At 60.3% G+C, this 12,244-nt stretch overlaps 1 protein-coding gene and 1 non-coding gene across 7 annotated transcripts, besides 8 other annotated features; both read left to right on the top strand.

Moving 5' to 3' along the window:
• Positions 179–248: an enhancer, noted in NCBI's record as "active region_30052". NCBI's record gives its function as "activates an Ori minimal core promoter by ATAC-STARR-seq in GM12878 lymphoblastoid cells {active_cell/tissue: GM12878}" and the evidence as "EXISTENCE:reporter gene assay evidence [ECO:0000049][PMID:35858748]".
• Positions 364–1,333: an enhancer, noted in NCBI's record as "H3K27ac-H3K4me1 hESC enhancer chrX:153285318-153286287 (GRCh37/hg19 assembly coordinates)". NCBI's record gives its function as "activates a minimal SCP1, AML or CMV promoter by ChIP-STARR-seq in naive H9 embryonic stem cells {active_cell/tissue: H9 hESC(naive)}" and the evidence as "EXISTENCE:reporter gene assay evidence [ECO:0000049][PMID:30033119]".
• Positions 364–1,398: a biological region, named in NCBI's record as "H3K27ac-H3K4me1 hESC enhancer GRCh37_chrX:153285318-153286287".
• Positions 1,019–1,398: a silencer, noted in NCBI's record as "silent region_21082". NCBI's record gives its function as "represses an Ori minimal core promoter by ATAC-STARR-seq in GM12878 lymphoblastoid cells {active_cell/tissue: GM12878}" and the evidence as "EXISTENCE:reporter gene assay evidence [ECO:0000049][PMID:35858748]".
• MIR718 (microRNA 718) lies at positions 1,211–1,280 on the top strand. The gene has a single exon (NR_031757.1). It is a non-coding gene; the product is annotated as a microRNA 718 (primary transcript).
• Positions 1,298–10,693, top strand: IRAK1 (interleukin 1 receptor associated kinase 1). Of its 6 annotated transcripts, none has more exons than XM_047442098.1 (15): positions 1,298–1,523; positions 1,602–1,769; positions 1,872–2,003; positions 2,122–2,225; positions 2,413–2,601; positions 2,845–2,909; positions 3,080–3,194; positions 4,133–4,251; positions 4,556–4,763; positions 5,103–5,168; positions 6,922–7,049; positions 7,095–7,158; positions 7,857–8,157; positions 8,522–8,671; positions 9,283–10,693. In XM_047442098.1, exons 1-15 carry the CDS (start codon positions 1,388–1,390, stop codon positions 9,339–9,341), a joined length of 2,004 nt encoding a protein of 667 aa, XP_047298054.1. In that variant the 5' UTR covers positions 1,298–1,387; the 3' UTR covers positions 9,342–10,693. The 6 variants fall into 6 exon arrangements, with proteins under 6 accessions (XP_047298054.1, XP_047298053.1, NP_001020413.1 ...); XM_047442097.1 differs by having other exon boundaries at positions 7,767–8,157; NM_001025242.2 differs by having other exon boundaries at positions 6,922–7,158.
• Positions 1,749–1,848: a silencer, noted in NCBI's record as "silent region_21081". NCBI's record gives its function as "represses an Ori minimal core promoter by ATAC-STARR-seq in GM12878 lymphoblastoid cells {active_cell/tissue: GM12878}" and the evidence as "EXISTENCE:reporter gene assay evidence [ECO:0000049][PMID:35858748]".
• Positions 1,859–1,928: a silencer, noted in NCBI's record as "silent region_21080". NCBI's record gives its function as "represses an Ori minimal core promoter by ATAC-STARR-seq in GM12878 lymphoblastoid cells {active_cell/tissue: GM12878}" and the evidence as "EXISTENCE:reporter gene assay evidence [ECO:0000049][PMID:35858748]".
• Positions 7,273–8,256: an enhancer, noted in NCBI's record as "H3K27ac-H3K4me1 hESC enhancer chrX:153278395-153279378 (GRCh37/hg19 assembly coordinates)". NCBI's record gives its function as "activates a minimal SCP1, AML or CMV promoter by ChIP-STARR-seq in naive and primed H9 embryonic stem cells {active_cell/tissue: H9 hESC(naive and primed)}" and the evidence as "EXISTENCE:reporter gene assay evidence [ECO:0000049][PMID:30033119]".
• Positions 8,257–9,241: an enhancer, noted in NCBI's record as "H3K27ac-H3K4me1 hESC enhancer chrX:153277410-153278394 (GRCh37/hg19 assembly coordinates)". NCBI's record gives its function as "activates a minimal SCP1, AML or CMV promoter by ChIP-STARR-seq in primed H9 embryonic stem cells {active_cell/tissue: H9 hESC(primed)}" and the evidence as "EXISTENCE:reporter gene assay evidence [ECO:0000049][PMID:30033119]".

Genomic DNA, 12,244 nt, shown 5'->3' with positions numbered 1-12,244 from the left:
GGACCCTCACGTGCCCTCTGTTGACTGCTAACGTGGTTCTCTGACCAGGCAAGGGCAGGCTGAGGGGTTTGCCCAAAGGGGGCCCCCTTGTTACTGGCTTCCTTGGCTCTCAGGAGCAGCCTCACCAGGTTGGTAAGGGGCTGGAGGAGACAACTGCTCAAAGGAGTCCAGCTTCACATGCACATGCTAGAAGGTACCCTCGGAAGGCCTGGCCTTCAAAGGTAGATCCCAGGGTTGAAAAGTCAACTTGTATGCATTGAGCATCTCGTATGCCAGCCCTGTTCCGTGAGCTGATGGGCCTTTGTGTGTAAGTAGGACCAAGTGCCCCCGTGGAGGTTAGCATGGGTGTGCAGTCATTTCAGATACTTGAGTTGGTACATCTCAGTAAAGTCTGTCCCGTGAGAAGCCATGGGTTTCATGGTATGGTTGGCATCTTCCTTGGGAGTGGCCACAGTGGTGGTGGCTTCAGGAAAGAGACTCCAACAGGGGCCAGCTGTGGGCCTTGGGCACTTCTCGTTTCTAGGAAAAGTCCTAAGTCTGTAGGGCTAGGGGTGGGGAACCCCTTCGCTGTCAGGATCAAGAGGGCAAGGGGAACTGTCGCTGGAGGAGACATCCAGCTGGAGAAACAAAAGAGTAAGTCTGCGTTGCTGCTTGTGGGGTCTTCCCCATCTCAGGGCGGGGACCGGGGGTGGCGGTCCAGACAAGTAATCAAGGACGATGCCCAGGAGGGGACAGGTACGGGGTGGCAGGAGCTCTGCCGGCGGGCTCAGGAAGCCTTCACCACAGCTGCCTGAGCTCACCCTTGCCAAATGAGGGCTGGGGCAGCAGCAACGCATACACTCACGGCTGTGGCGGGCAGCGTTCTCGGCATATTTCAGGACACCTAAGGAGACTGAATGGCTCAAGGCTGCTGCCGTGTGCAGGGGGCTAGACGTGGGGCGGGCAGGCAGGGCTCCTGGTAACAGCCCTGCAGGCCGCAGTGGAGAGCAGGGTTCCGGCAGGGCCGCCCAGGAGCTTTCGGAAGGCCCGGCCCCGGCCCCTTTCCGAGCAGCCCGGGCCTCCGCCCTGCCCTCTGTCCCCAACGCCGGGAGCCGCCGTTCGTCCTCCAGAGCCCCGCCCGGGCGAGCCCGGGAGGCCGATCGCCGCTCGCGGAACCCGCCGGGACCCGGGCCCTCCCCGGCGCGGGGCGCCCCCGTGTGACCCAGCGCGCGGCCGCGGCGCGCAAGATGGCGGCGGGCCCGGGCACCGCCCCTTCCGCCCCGCCGGGCGTCGCACGAGGCCGGCTCGAAGGGGAAGTGAGTCAGTGTCCGCGGACCCGGCCGGCCCAGGCCCGCGCCCGCCGCGGCCCTGAGAGGCCCCGGCAGGTCCCGGCCCGGCGGCGGCAGCCATGGCCGGGGGGCCGGGCCCGGGGGAGCCCGCAGCCCCCGGCGCCCAGCACTTCTTGTACGAGGTGCCGCCCTGGGTCATGTGCCGCTTCTACAAAGTGATGGACGCCCTGGAGCCCGCCGACTGGTGCCAGTTCGGTGGGTGGCGGCGGGCTGCCGGGGGGCGGGAGGCGCGCGGGCTCCTGGCGCCGACGCCTGACGCCCCCCGCCCCGCAGCCGCCCTGATCGTGCGCGACCAGACCGAGCTGCGGCTGTGCGAGCGCTCCGGGCAGCGCACGGCCAGCGTCCTGTGGCCCTGGATCAACCGCAACGCCCGTGTGGCCGACCTCGTGCACATCCTCACGCACCTGCAGCTGCTCCGTGCGCGGGACATCATCACAGCCTGTGAGCGCGGGACTCCGGGCACCCCACGGCTGGGAGGCCGGCGGGCCCCACGGGGCTCCCCCACCCGGGCCTCAACCTTCCTTTCCTTCCTTGGCGTCCCAGGGCACCCTCCCGCCCCGCTTCCGTCCCCAGGCACCACTGCCCCGAGGCCCAGCAGCATCCCTGCACCCGCCGAGGCCGAGGCCTGGAGCCCCCGGAAGTTGCCATCCTCAGCCTCCACCTTCCTCTCCCCAGGTAAGAGGGCCCGGTTGTTAGGCTCGGTGGACCCAAAGAAGAGCCCACCTTGACCACGGCCACGGCTGTAGACCCTGCTGCTGGTCTCTGCCTGCCTCTCACTGGTGTCTTTATGAAGCTTTTCCAGGCTCCCAGACCCATTCAGGGCCTGAGCTCGGCCTGGTCCCAAGCCCTGCTTCCCTGTGGCCTCCACCGCCATCTCCAGCCCCTTCTTCTACCAAGGTAGGTGTCCCCTGCCCCCCAGGGAAGATTCGAGACAAGGAGGAAGGAATTCAGCCTTTGATGTAGCGCAGAGCCCCAGTCAGCCAAGCTGGGTCAGCTGGGAGGCAGCTGTGGTGGGGAGAGCCTGGAGCCTTGGGCAGAAGGGAAGAGACAGGGACCCCACCTGATCCAGGCTCTCTTCCCACAGCCAGGCCCAGAGAGCTCAGTGTCCCTCCTGCAGGGAGCCCGCCCCTTTCCGTTTTGCTGGCCCCTCTGTGAGATTTCCCGGGGCACCCACAACTTCTCGGAGGAGCTCAAGATCGGGGAGGGTGGCTTTGGGTGCGTGTACCGGGCGGTGATGAGGAACACGGTGTATGCTGTGAAGAGGCTGAAGGAGGTGAGTGTCGCACCCTGGCAGGGACCCTGGAAGGCCATCAGATAACCCTCACCACTTCTCCAGCCTTTCCCCCTCGCTTCCCCACACAACTCCTTCAGCCCTCATTCTGGCGTAGGGTCCCTGGCCCCTTGGTGGTTCTGGGCCTCGGGTAGGTGGCACTGGTGGCCCGAAGGCCTTCGCTTCGAGAGCCTCACGCTGCCCGTCTTCCCTGCCCCTTCCCCCACCGCACCCTGGGGGCTGCAGAACGCTGACCTGGAGTGGACTGCAGTGAAGCAGAGCTTCCTGACCGAGGTGGAGCAGCTGTCCAGGTGAGGCCAGAGGGGGAGCCACACCAGGTCCCGTGGGGCTTCAGACCGCACACCACAGGACCTGGCTCCCTTGGGCACCTGAGGCCTGGCAGGCCCGGGCGAGCTGAGGCCCCAGCCAGGGCTGCCCACCCAGTCTGGCCTGATGGAAAGTGCTCCCCTTTTTCAAACAGGTTTCGTCACCCAAACATTGTGGACTTTGCTGGCTACTGTGCTCAGAACGGCTTCTACTGCCTGGTGTACGGCTTCCTGCCCAACGGCTCCCTGGAGGACCGTCTCCACTGCCAGGTAGGCTCACCTGGCCCGGCACGCTTCCCAGGACCCAAAGCACTCCTGACACCTGGCTGGAGCCGGGCGCGGGGCCTAGGGCTTTCAGCCTGTGTGAGTGGGTCCTGCCAGCAGGCCAGGCCTGCACTTCCAGCTCCCCAGCAGCACCCGGCTCAGGATTTGGCCCACGGTGGGGTCAATTTTTTTTTTTTTTTTTTTTTTTTTTTTTTTGAGGTGGAGTCTTGCTCTGTCATCCAGGCTGGAGTGCAGTGGTGTGATCTCAGCTCACCACAACCTCCACCTCCCGGGTTCAGGCGATCCTCCTGCCGCAGCCTCCCGAGTAGCTGGGACTACAGGCATGCACCACCACACCTGCCTAATTTTTGTATTTTTAGTAGAGATGAGGTTTTGCCACATTGGCCAGGCTAGTCTCGAACTCCTGACCCCAGGTGGTCTGCGCGCCTCAGCCTCCCAAAGTGCTGGGATTACAGGCGTGAGCCACCACGCCTGGCCCGACCCAATGTTTTCTATAGAGCTCTTTCCCAGGCCTCTCCCCTTTGCAAGCAGCGTAGCTGGAGGGTCTCATCAGCAAGCCCCGGAGGCGAGGGGGTCTGGGGCTACCAGCTGGACCACCTACAGCTGAGGGAGGGCCCCCTTGCCTCCTCCTGCATGCTGCGTTTGGGGAGAGCGGGAAGAATGCCTTCAAGGACTTCCCGACCACCAGGGACAAAGGGATGAGCCCTGGGAGCCGAAGCCCAGCAGATTCTATTGAACGTGTCCCCAGCCATTGCTTAAGAAGTGCAGGTCACGGAGACTTTGCTCCTCGTTTTCCAGAAGGGGGAAACTGAGGCCTAGAGAGTGAAGTGGCTGTTCCAGGCTGCACGGTGACAGGTAGAAGGATGGTTGGGATCAAGGAACGGCCATCCAGCAACCTCCCCTGTCCCCCTTTGCCACCCCAGACCCAGGCCTGCCCACCTCTCTCCTGGCCTCAGCGACTGGACATCCTTCTGGGTACAGCCCGGGCAATTCAGTTTCTACATCAGGACAGCCCCAGCCTCATCCATGGAGACATCAAGAGGTGAGGAGGGGCCCTTGAGAACTGCCGGGGCAGGGCCTGCAGCAAGGGGGGCCCCGCGTCCTATCAATGTGGGGATCAGGCATGGCCTGGGACCTCAACACCCCGGCATCGCACAGGTGTGGGAACGGGCCAAGGATGGGCCCTACTGATGAGCAGAGGCCCCCAGGCAGCTGGAGCGCTCAGGGCAGTGCCAGCGCTTTCTGTGGGCAAGGCACCGGGCTGGCAGCCTCGAGTCCAGCCTTATCTAAGCCGGGCAGGTGTAGGAGCTAGGACCGGGCTGACGCCACTGTCTTCTCTCCCCAAGTTCCAACGTCCTTCTGGATGAGAGGCTGACACCCAAGCTGGGAGACTTTGGCCTGGCCCGGTTCAGCCGCTTTGCCGGGTCCAGCCCCAGCCAGAGCAGCATGGTGGCCCGGACACAGACAGTGCGGGGCACCCTGGCCTACCTGCCCGAGGAGTACATCAAGACGGGAAGGCTGGCTGTGGACACGGACACCTTCAGCTTTGGGGTGGTGAGCCACTGACCCCTCTGCTGGCTCAGAGGAGGAGAAGCCACAGGCAGGCAGAGGTGGGGGCTGCAGAGTGCACTGCGGGCCAGGGGCCATCTGCCAAGACCCCAGGAGGCTGCAGCTCCAGGGTCCCCCTCCCTCCGAGGCCCTCCTCCTCACCCTGCACCTAACTGTGTGTTTGTAATTTGTCTTCAAGTGGGCTCTCCGAGTTGCCCGAGCTTCAGTCCCATAACATCTGGCTCTGCCTTTGTCCACACCCTTGTCAGGCCCAATCCATGTCCACACCAGAGGCCTCTTCCCTGCCAAGGCCACTGCCATGCTCTCCCTCTTCCCTCTCTCCAGGTAGTGCTAGAGACCTTGGCTGGTCAGAGGGCTGTGAAGACGCACGGTGCCAGGACCAAGTATCTGGTGAGCCCCTTGAGGCAGGGCCAGGAGGGACACACAGCTGCTGGCAGCCAGCAGGCACAGCCCCAGTGGCGGGGATAACTGGGGCGCAGTGCCCATGGATGCCTCTGCTGCCACAGTGGCCTCATTTTTGAAAGTAGGCAGGGCTCCAAACAACTTCGTTTACCTTGCCGAGGACAAACCTGTCTGTCCTGCAGACACTATGGGCCTTGTACAGACCCCACCTGGGCTGGGGGCAGGGGGAAGGGCGGTCCCAGGGCACTGAGACCCAAGCTGCAGTGGAACTCAGAGGACTCTGGCCGGAGAAAGGCGGTGGTAGAGAAGAAGCAGGCCCCGAGGAACCTCCTGGGCCCCAGCAGGCTGCAGCTGAGCTCTCCGCACCGTGCAGGGCAGCCTGAGCTGCCTCACGGTCTTACTCCACTCAGTCTGCCTCACCGTGGACTGTGGTGGGGCCAGGAGACTAGAGACCTGGGTTTTAGCCCCAGCCTGACAGTGGCCTTCCAGCAAATTCCTGCTCCCCTGTGGGCCTGTTTTCCCATATGCAAAACAGACTTCACAGAATGTGCTCAGCCAGTAATTGCTTCACTGCTTCTCCTCTTGTTTGGGGCGGTTCCTGTGTGCTGTGGGGTCTCCGTCAGGATTCAGCCCCGCTGAGAACCCAGGAGCCGGGCTTGAGCCCTCCTTCCTTTCCCTTCCCCGTCCGTCCATCCATGCATCCTGCTGAAGAAGCGCACCAGGCTCCTTGGGGGTCCTTGGACTTCCCCACTTGCTCCCCACCCTGCAGCCAAAGTGCTCTTTTCAAAGGCCCCTTTGCCTTTTCTCTGCTCTTGGGGTGAAGGCCCAGTCCCTTATGTGGTTGACCCCCCAACGCCCCAGGTCCCTGGGACTCGGGGCGCTCCCTGCTGCCTGCTTCACAGCCTTAGTATGTGCCGTTCGCTCTGCGAGAAAAGCCACCGCCCACCCAGGTGGTTCCTCCTGGTCTGTCTGATTTCAGAACTGGAGATGGCCTCCGGTCCTGTTTCCACCCTGGGGGCGCCTCTCTGCGGGGCGCCTCTCTCTCTGGGGTACCTCTTTGTCTGTGGGGCACCTCTCTGTGGGGCGCTTTCCTTCTCGGCTCTGCCCTCTCAGGCTACTTCCTGCCTTCAGACCCCAGCTCCATGGGGCTCTCCCCCACCAGGAAGTCAGCTCTGTCAAACCGGGTCCCAGGGTTCTGTTTGTTCCTGTATCCCTAGGGCCCAGAGCACCACTGGCCCACAGTAGGTGTTTAATAAATCTCTAGAAGCTACTCGGGAATCTGAGGCAGGAGGATCGCTTGAGCCTGGGAGTTGGAGACCAGCCTGGGCAACATAGCAAGATAGGCATGGTGGTACACACCTGTAATCCCAGCTGCTCGGGAGGCCGAGGTGGGAGGATCACGAGCCTGGGAGGTTGAGGCTGCACTGAGCCATGATTGCACCACTGCACTCCAGCCTGGGTGACAGAATGAGTCCCTGTCTCAGAAAAAAAGTAAGTTGTAGAAAGACCAAGAGCTGTGGCACAGTGTCTCACACCTGTAACACCAGCACTTTGGGAGGCTGAGGCGGGAGGATCACTTGAGCCTACTTGGAGACCAGCCAGGCCAACAAAGCGAGACCCCATCTCTTTTTTTTTTTTTTTTTTTTTTATCAAAACCCATACGATTGAGTGACAAGGACCTGAGGACTGCAGCTGCAGGTGTGGCCACCTGGTAGCCATACTGACAGTATTTATCCCACAGAAAGACCTGGTGGAAGAGGAGGCTGAGGAGGCTGGAGTGGCTTTGAGAAGCACCCAGAGCACACTGCAAGCAGGTCTGGCTGCAGATGCCTGGGCTGCTCCCATCGCCATGCAGATCTACAAGAAGCACCTGGACCCCAGGCCCGGGCCCTGCCCACCTGAGCTGGGCCTGGGCCTGGGCCAGCTGGCCTGCTGCTGCCTGCACCGCCGGGCCAAAAGGAGGCCTCCTATGACCCAGGTAGCCAGCTGCGCACTGGGACGGGGTGGCCAGATAGAAAGCCCGCATTCCAGGCCTTGCTCTGTAGTGACCCCATCTCAGCACCTGCTAGGTCTCTCTGGAGTCTCCACACATTTCTTGCTTGCCCTTTGGTTCTGTTTGGGGCAGCGCCCCTCTGAACTGAGGGGCCCCGGGCAGTCCTGCTTTGCGGAGCCCAGCTCCGACCCCCTTCACATAGAGAGAAGGAAAGAGCTGCTGCCGCGCCCCCTGCTGGGCGCACTGCACTACTGCATCTGCCTTTTTCTGTCCCCTCCCTAGTACCCCACCTCTTCTCCTCTGGTGACAGTTGAAAATGGAGAGGCCCCGTTTGAGGGCAGCGGGGCAGTGAGATTCATTTTGTAGAAAAGAACGAGGCCATTCTCAGTCCTTGCTTTTGGCAGCCGCGCTTCTCAGCACTCCCTGTGATGGGAACAGAGGGGCGAGGGGCAGAGCGTTCCCAGCTGCAGGGTATGTCATTTTAGAGCCCTGGGGCAGGTCACGGACGGCCTGGAGCAGCCCTGTGGTTTGCCCACGGGGTGACCGGCCAGGGCTGCCATCTCACCCTGAGAGTCCCTCTTTTCCACTTGCAGGTGTACGAGAGGCTAGAGAAGCTGCAGGCAGTGGTGGCGGGGGTGCCCGGGCATTCGGAGGCCGCCAGCTGCATCCCCCCTTCCCCGCAGGAGAACTCCTACGTGTCCAGCACTGGCAGAGCCCACAGTGGGGCTGCTCCATGGCAGCCCCTGGCAGCGCCATCAGGAGCCAGTGCCCAGGCAGCAGAGCAGCTGCAGAGAGGCCCCAACCAGCCCGTGGAGAGTGACGAGAGCCTAGGCGGCCTCTCTGCTGCCCTGCGCTCCTGGCACTTGACTCCAAGCTGCCCTCTGGACCCAGCACCCCTCAGGGAGGCCGGCTGTCCTCAGGGGGACACGGCAGGAGAATCGAGCTGGGGGAGTGGCCCAGGATCCCGGCCCACAGCCGTGGAAGGTAGCTGGGGAGACGGGTTCCCAGGAGAGGGACCAAGGCCTCTTTGGGCCAAAGCCCCTGTAAGTCCCCACCCCAGCCTTCTAGAAGAGAACCAGGGCCAAATGTTCAGCTCACTGTGACCTTAGCAACCCTGGTTTCCCCTCCCCAGGCCACATCCTTCCCAGGTGGAGCTTGCTCTCCAGCCCTCCCCCCACCCCATTCCTGAAGGCTGGGAACAAGGAGGGCTCTGTCTGGTAGCCTGAGAGCTGGGCCCTGCCCTTGGACTTCTCTGAGGAATTCAGGCCTGAGGCCAGGGAGGCAGGGTGCTAGGCTGCGGGCTGGGGAGCCACAGCATGAGGCTAAGGGAGTGCCATCTCCACCCCAGGACTGGCCCTTGGCAGCTCTGCATCATCGTCGTCAGAGCCACCGCAGATTATCATCAACCCTGCCCGACAGAAGATGGTCCAGAAGCTGGCCCTGTACGAGGATGGGGCCCTGGACAGCCTGCAGCTGCTGTCGTCCAGCTCCCTCCCAGGTGCTGCCGCCCAGGCTGGCCTCTGGGGTGCTCAGGCGCATCCGTGTCAGCCCCAAAGAGCAGAGTGTCTGTCCCGACTGCGCTGAGGGCGTGGGGCAGCCGGGCAGGCCACTGGCTCTGGCGACCTCTAGAAGCCCAGCCGGCCCCACATGCCTCCCTTAGCAAGACCCTGGCCCACTCCTTCCCTCGCCTCCTGACAGTAGCACCTCCTTTAGCCCGAGGGTGCCTGCCCCACTCTGTGCTTTCAGGAAATAGGAAGCCCCAGCAGGAATTTTCCATCCCAGGTACTATTTGAAGAACCACTGCTTAGGAACCCTCAGCTGGGCGAGGTGGCTCATGCCTATAATACCAGCACTTTTGGAGGCCAAGATGGGAGGATCACTTGAGCCCAGGAGGTGGAGGCTACAGTGAGCTGTGATCAAGCCACTGCACTCCAGCCTGGGAGACAGTTAGACCCTGTCTCAAAAACAAATGAACAAACAAACAAAAACCCTCAATTCCCACGAACGCCCCAGGAGATAAGGGAGCATGGCCCAGGCCTTGAGCCAGGGCTTCTGGCAGTAGGGGAGCCTCCCCCATTTGCTAAGCGGACTTTCCTCTTCCTTCTGTAGGCTTGGGCCTGGAACAGGACAGGCAGGGGCCCGAAGAAAGTGATGAATTTCAGAGCTGATGTGTTCACCTGGGCAGATCCCCCAAATCCGGAAGTCAAAGTTCTCATGGTCAGAAGTTCTCATGGTGCACGAGTCCTCAGCACTCTGCCGGCAGTGGGGGTGGGGGCCCATGCCCGCGGGGGAGAGAAGGAGGTGGCCCTGCTGTTCTAGGCTCTGTGGGCATAGGCAGGCAGAGTGGAACCCTGCCTCCATGCCAGCATCTGGGGGCAAGGAAGGCTGGCATCATCCAGTGAGGAGGCTGGCGCATGTTGGGAGGCTGCTGGCTGCACAGACCCGTGAGGGGAGGAGAGGGGCTGCTGTGCAGGGGTGTGGAGTAGGGAGCTGGCTCCCCTGAGAGCCATGCAGGGCGTCTGCAGCCCAGGCCTCTGGCAGCAGCTCTTTGCCCATCTCTTTGGACAGTGGCCACCCTGCACAATGGGGCCGACGAGGCCTAGGGCCCTCCTACCTGCTTACAATTTGGAAAAGTGTGGCCGGGTGCGGTGGCTCACGCCTGTAATCCCAGCACTTTGGGAGGCCAAGGCAGGAGGATCGCTGGAGCCCAGTAGGTCAAGACCAGCCAGGGCAACATGATGAGACCCTGTCTCTGCCAAAAAATTTTTTAAACTATTAGCCTGGCGTGGTAGCGCACGCCTGTGGTCCCAGCTGCTGGGGAGGCTGAAGTAGGAGGATCATTTATGCTTGGGAGGTCGAGGCTGCAGTGAGTCATGATTGTATGACTGCACTCCAGCCTGGGTGACAGAGCAAGACCCTGTTTCAAAAAGAAAAACCCTGGGAAAAGTGAAGTATGGCTGTAAGTCTCATGGTTCAGTCCTAGCAAGAAGCGAGAATTCTGAGATCCTCCAGAAAGTCGAGCAGCACCCACCTCCAACCTCGGGCCAGTGTCTTCAGGCTTTACTGGGGACCTGCGAGCTGGCCTAATGTGGTGGCCTGCAAGCCAGGCCATCCCTGGGCGCCACAGACGAGCTCCGAGCCAGGTCAGGCTTCGGAGGCCACAAGCTCAGCCTCAGGCCCAGGCACTGATTGTGGCAGAGGGGCCACTACCCAAGGTCTAGCTAGGCCCAAGACCTAGTTACCCAGACAGTGAGAAGCCCCTGGAAGGCAGAAAAGTTGGGAGCATGGCAGACAGGGAAGGGAAACATTTTCAGGGAAAAGACATGTATCACATGTCTTCAGAAGCAAGTCAGGTTTCATGTAACCGAGTGTCCTCTTGCGTGTCCAAAAGTAGCCCAGGGCTGTAGCACAGGCTTCACAGTGATTTTGTGTTCAGCCGTGAGTCACACTACATGCCCCCGTGAAGCTGGGCATTGGTGACGTCCAGGTTGTCCTTGAGTAATAAAAACGTATGTTGCAATCTCGGGCTCTACTTGTGGACTTTGTTGCACCGAAAGCCTTGAGCTTTCCTGATGCCTTACACTTCAGGGTTCTTGAGCGTCCAGGGTCTTGTTACTACTCTGGGCTGGCCACACCCAGCACTTCCCGTGTCAGGTTTTTCCTGATGTAGTCCATGTTTTTTATGCTATTCTAAATGGTATCTTTGATTTTCTAGTTCATCATGATATTATACAGAAATGCAATTGATGCTGGGCACGGTGGCTCACGCCTGTGATTCCAGCGCTTTGGGAAGCTAAGGCGGGCAGATCACTTGAGGCCAGGAGTTTGAGACCAGCCTGGGCAACATGGCGAAACCCCGTCTCTACAAAAAGTACAAAAATTAGCCAGGCATGGTGGTGCATGCCTGTAGTTTGAGCTACTCAGGAGGCTGACCCAGGAGGATAGTTTGAGCCCAGGACGTTGAGGCTGCAGTGAGCCATGATTCCACCACTGCACTCCAGCCCGGGCAACAGAGGGAGACCTTGCCTCAAAAAAAAAAAAAAAAAAAAAAAAAGCGGTTGAGTTTTGCATATGAACCGTATATTCTGTGACCTTGTTTAAATTCTTTTTTTTTTTTCTTTTTTTGAGATGGAGTTTTGCTCTTGTTGCCCAGGCTGCAGTGCAATGGCGCTATCTCAGCTCACTGCAACCTCTGCCTCCTAGGTTCAAGTGATTCTCCTGCCTCAGCCTCCCGAGTAGCTGGGATTACAGGTGCCCACCACCACACCCGGCTAATTTTTTTGTATTTTTAATAGAGACAGGGTTTCCACATGTTGACCAGGCTGGTCTCGAACTCCTGACCTCCAGTGATCCGCCCGCCTCGGCCTCCCAAAGTGCTAGATTACAGGTGTGAGCCACTGCACCTGTCCCTGGCTGTCTGTATATTTACTTTTTTTTTTGAGATGGAGTTTCGCTCTTGTCACCCAGGCTGCAGTGCAATGGTGCGATCTCGGCTCATTGTAACCTCTGCCTCCCAGGTTCAGGTGATTCTCCTGCCTCAGTCTCCCGAGTAGCTGGGATTACAGGCGTCCGCTACCACGCCCGACTGATTTTTCTATTTTTAGTAGAGACGGGGTTTCAACATGTTGGCCAGTCTGATCTCGAACTCCTGACCTCAGGTGATTCACCCACCTCAGCCTCCCAAAGTGCTGGGATTACAGGTATGAGGCACTGTGCCCGGCTTTTTTTTTTTTTTTTTTTTTCTTCAGACAAGAGTCTTACTCTGTCACCCAGGCTGAAGTGCAGTGGTGCAATCTTGGCTCACTGCAACCTCCGCCTCCCAGGTTCAAGCGATTCTTCTGCCTCAGCCTCCATAGTAGCTGGGACTACAGGTGTGTGCCACCACGCCCAGCTAATTTTTATATTTTTATTTAGTAGAGACAAGGTTTCACCATGTTGGCCAAGCTGGTCTCGAACTCCTGACCTCAAGTGATCTGCCCGCCTCAGCCTCCCAAAGTGCTGGGATTACAGGTGTGAGCCGTGGCACCCAGCCCAGCCTTATTCTTTTAAACAATCTGACAATCTCTGCCTT

Source organism: Homo sapiens, chromosome X, assembly GCF_000001405.40.
Source record: "Homo sapiens chromosome X, GRCh38.p14 Primary Assembly".
Lineage (NCBI taxonomy): Eukaryota > Metazoa > Chordata > Mammalia > Primates > Hominidae > Homo > Homo sapiens.
This window is presented reverse-complemented; position numbering and strand designations above follow the sequence as displayed.

Excerpts from the sequence above, each read along its gene's own strand:
- IRAK1 (NM_001569.4), top strand. The coding sequence starts at position 1,388 with ATGGCCGGGGGGCCGGGCCCGGGGGAGCCCGCAGCCCCCGGCGCCCAG. Across the intron at positions 4,252-4,555 it reads ATCCATGGAGACATCAAGAG|TTCCAACGTCCTTCTGGATG; the intron begins GTGAGGAGGGGC and ends TCTCTCCCCAAG. Across the intron at positions 4,764-5,102 it reads ACACCTTCAGCTTTGGGGTG|GTAGTGCTAGAGACCTTGGC; the intron begins GTGAGCCACTGA and ends CCCTCTCTCCAG.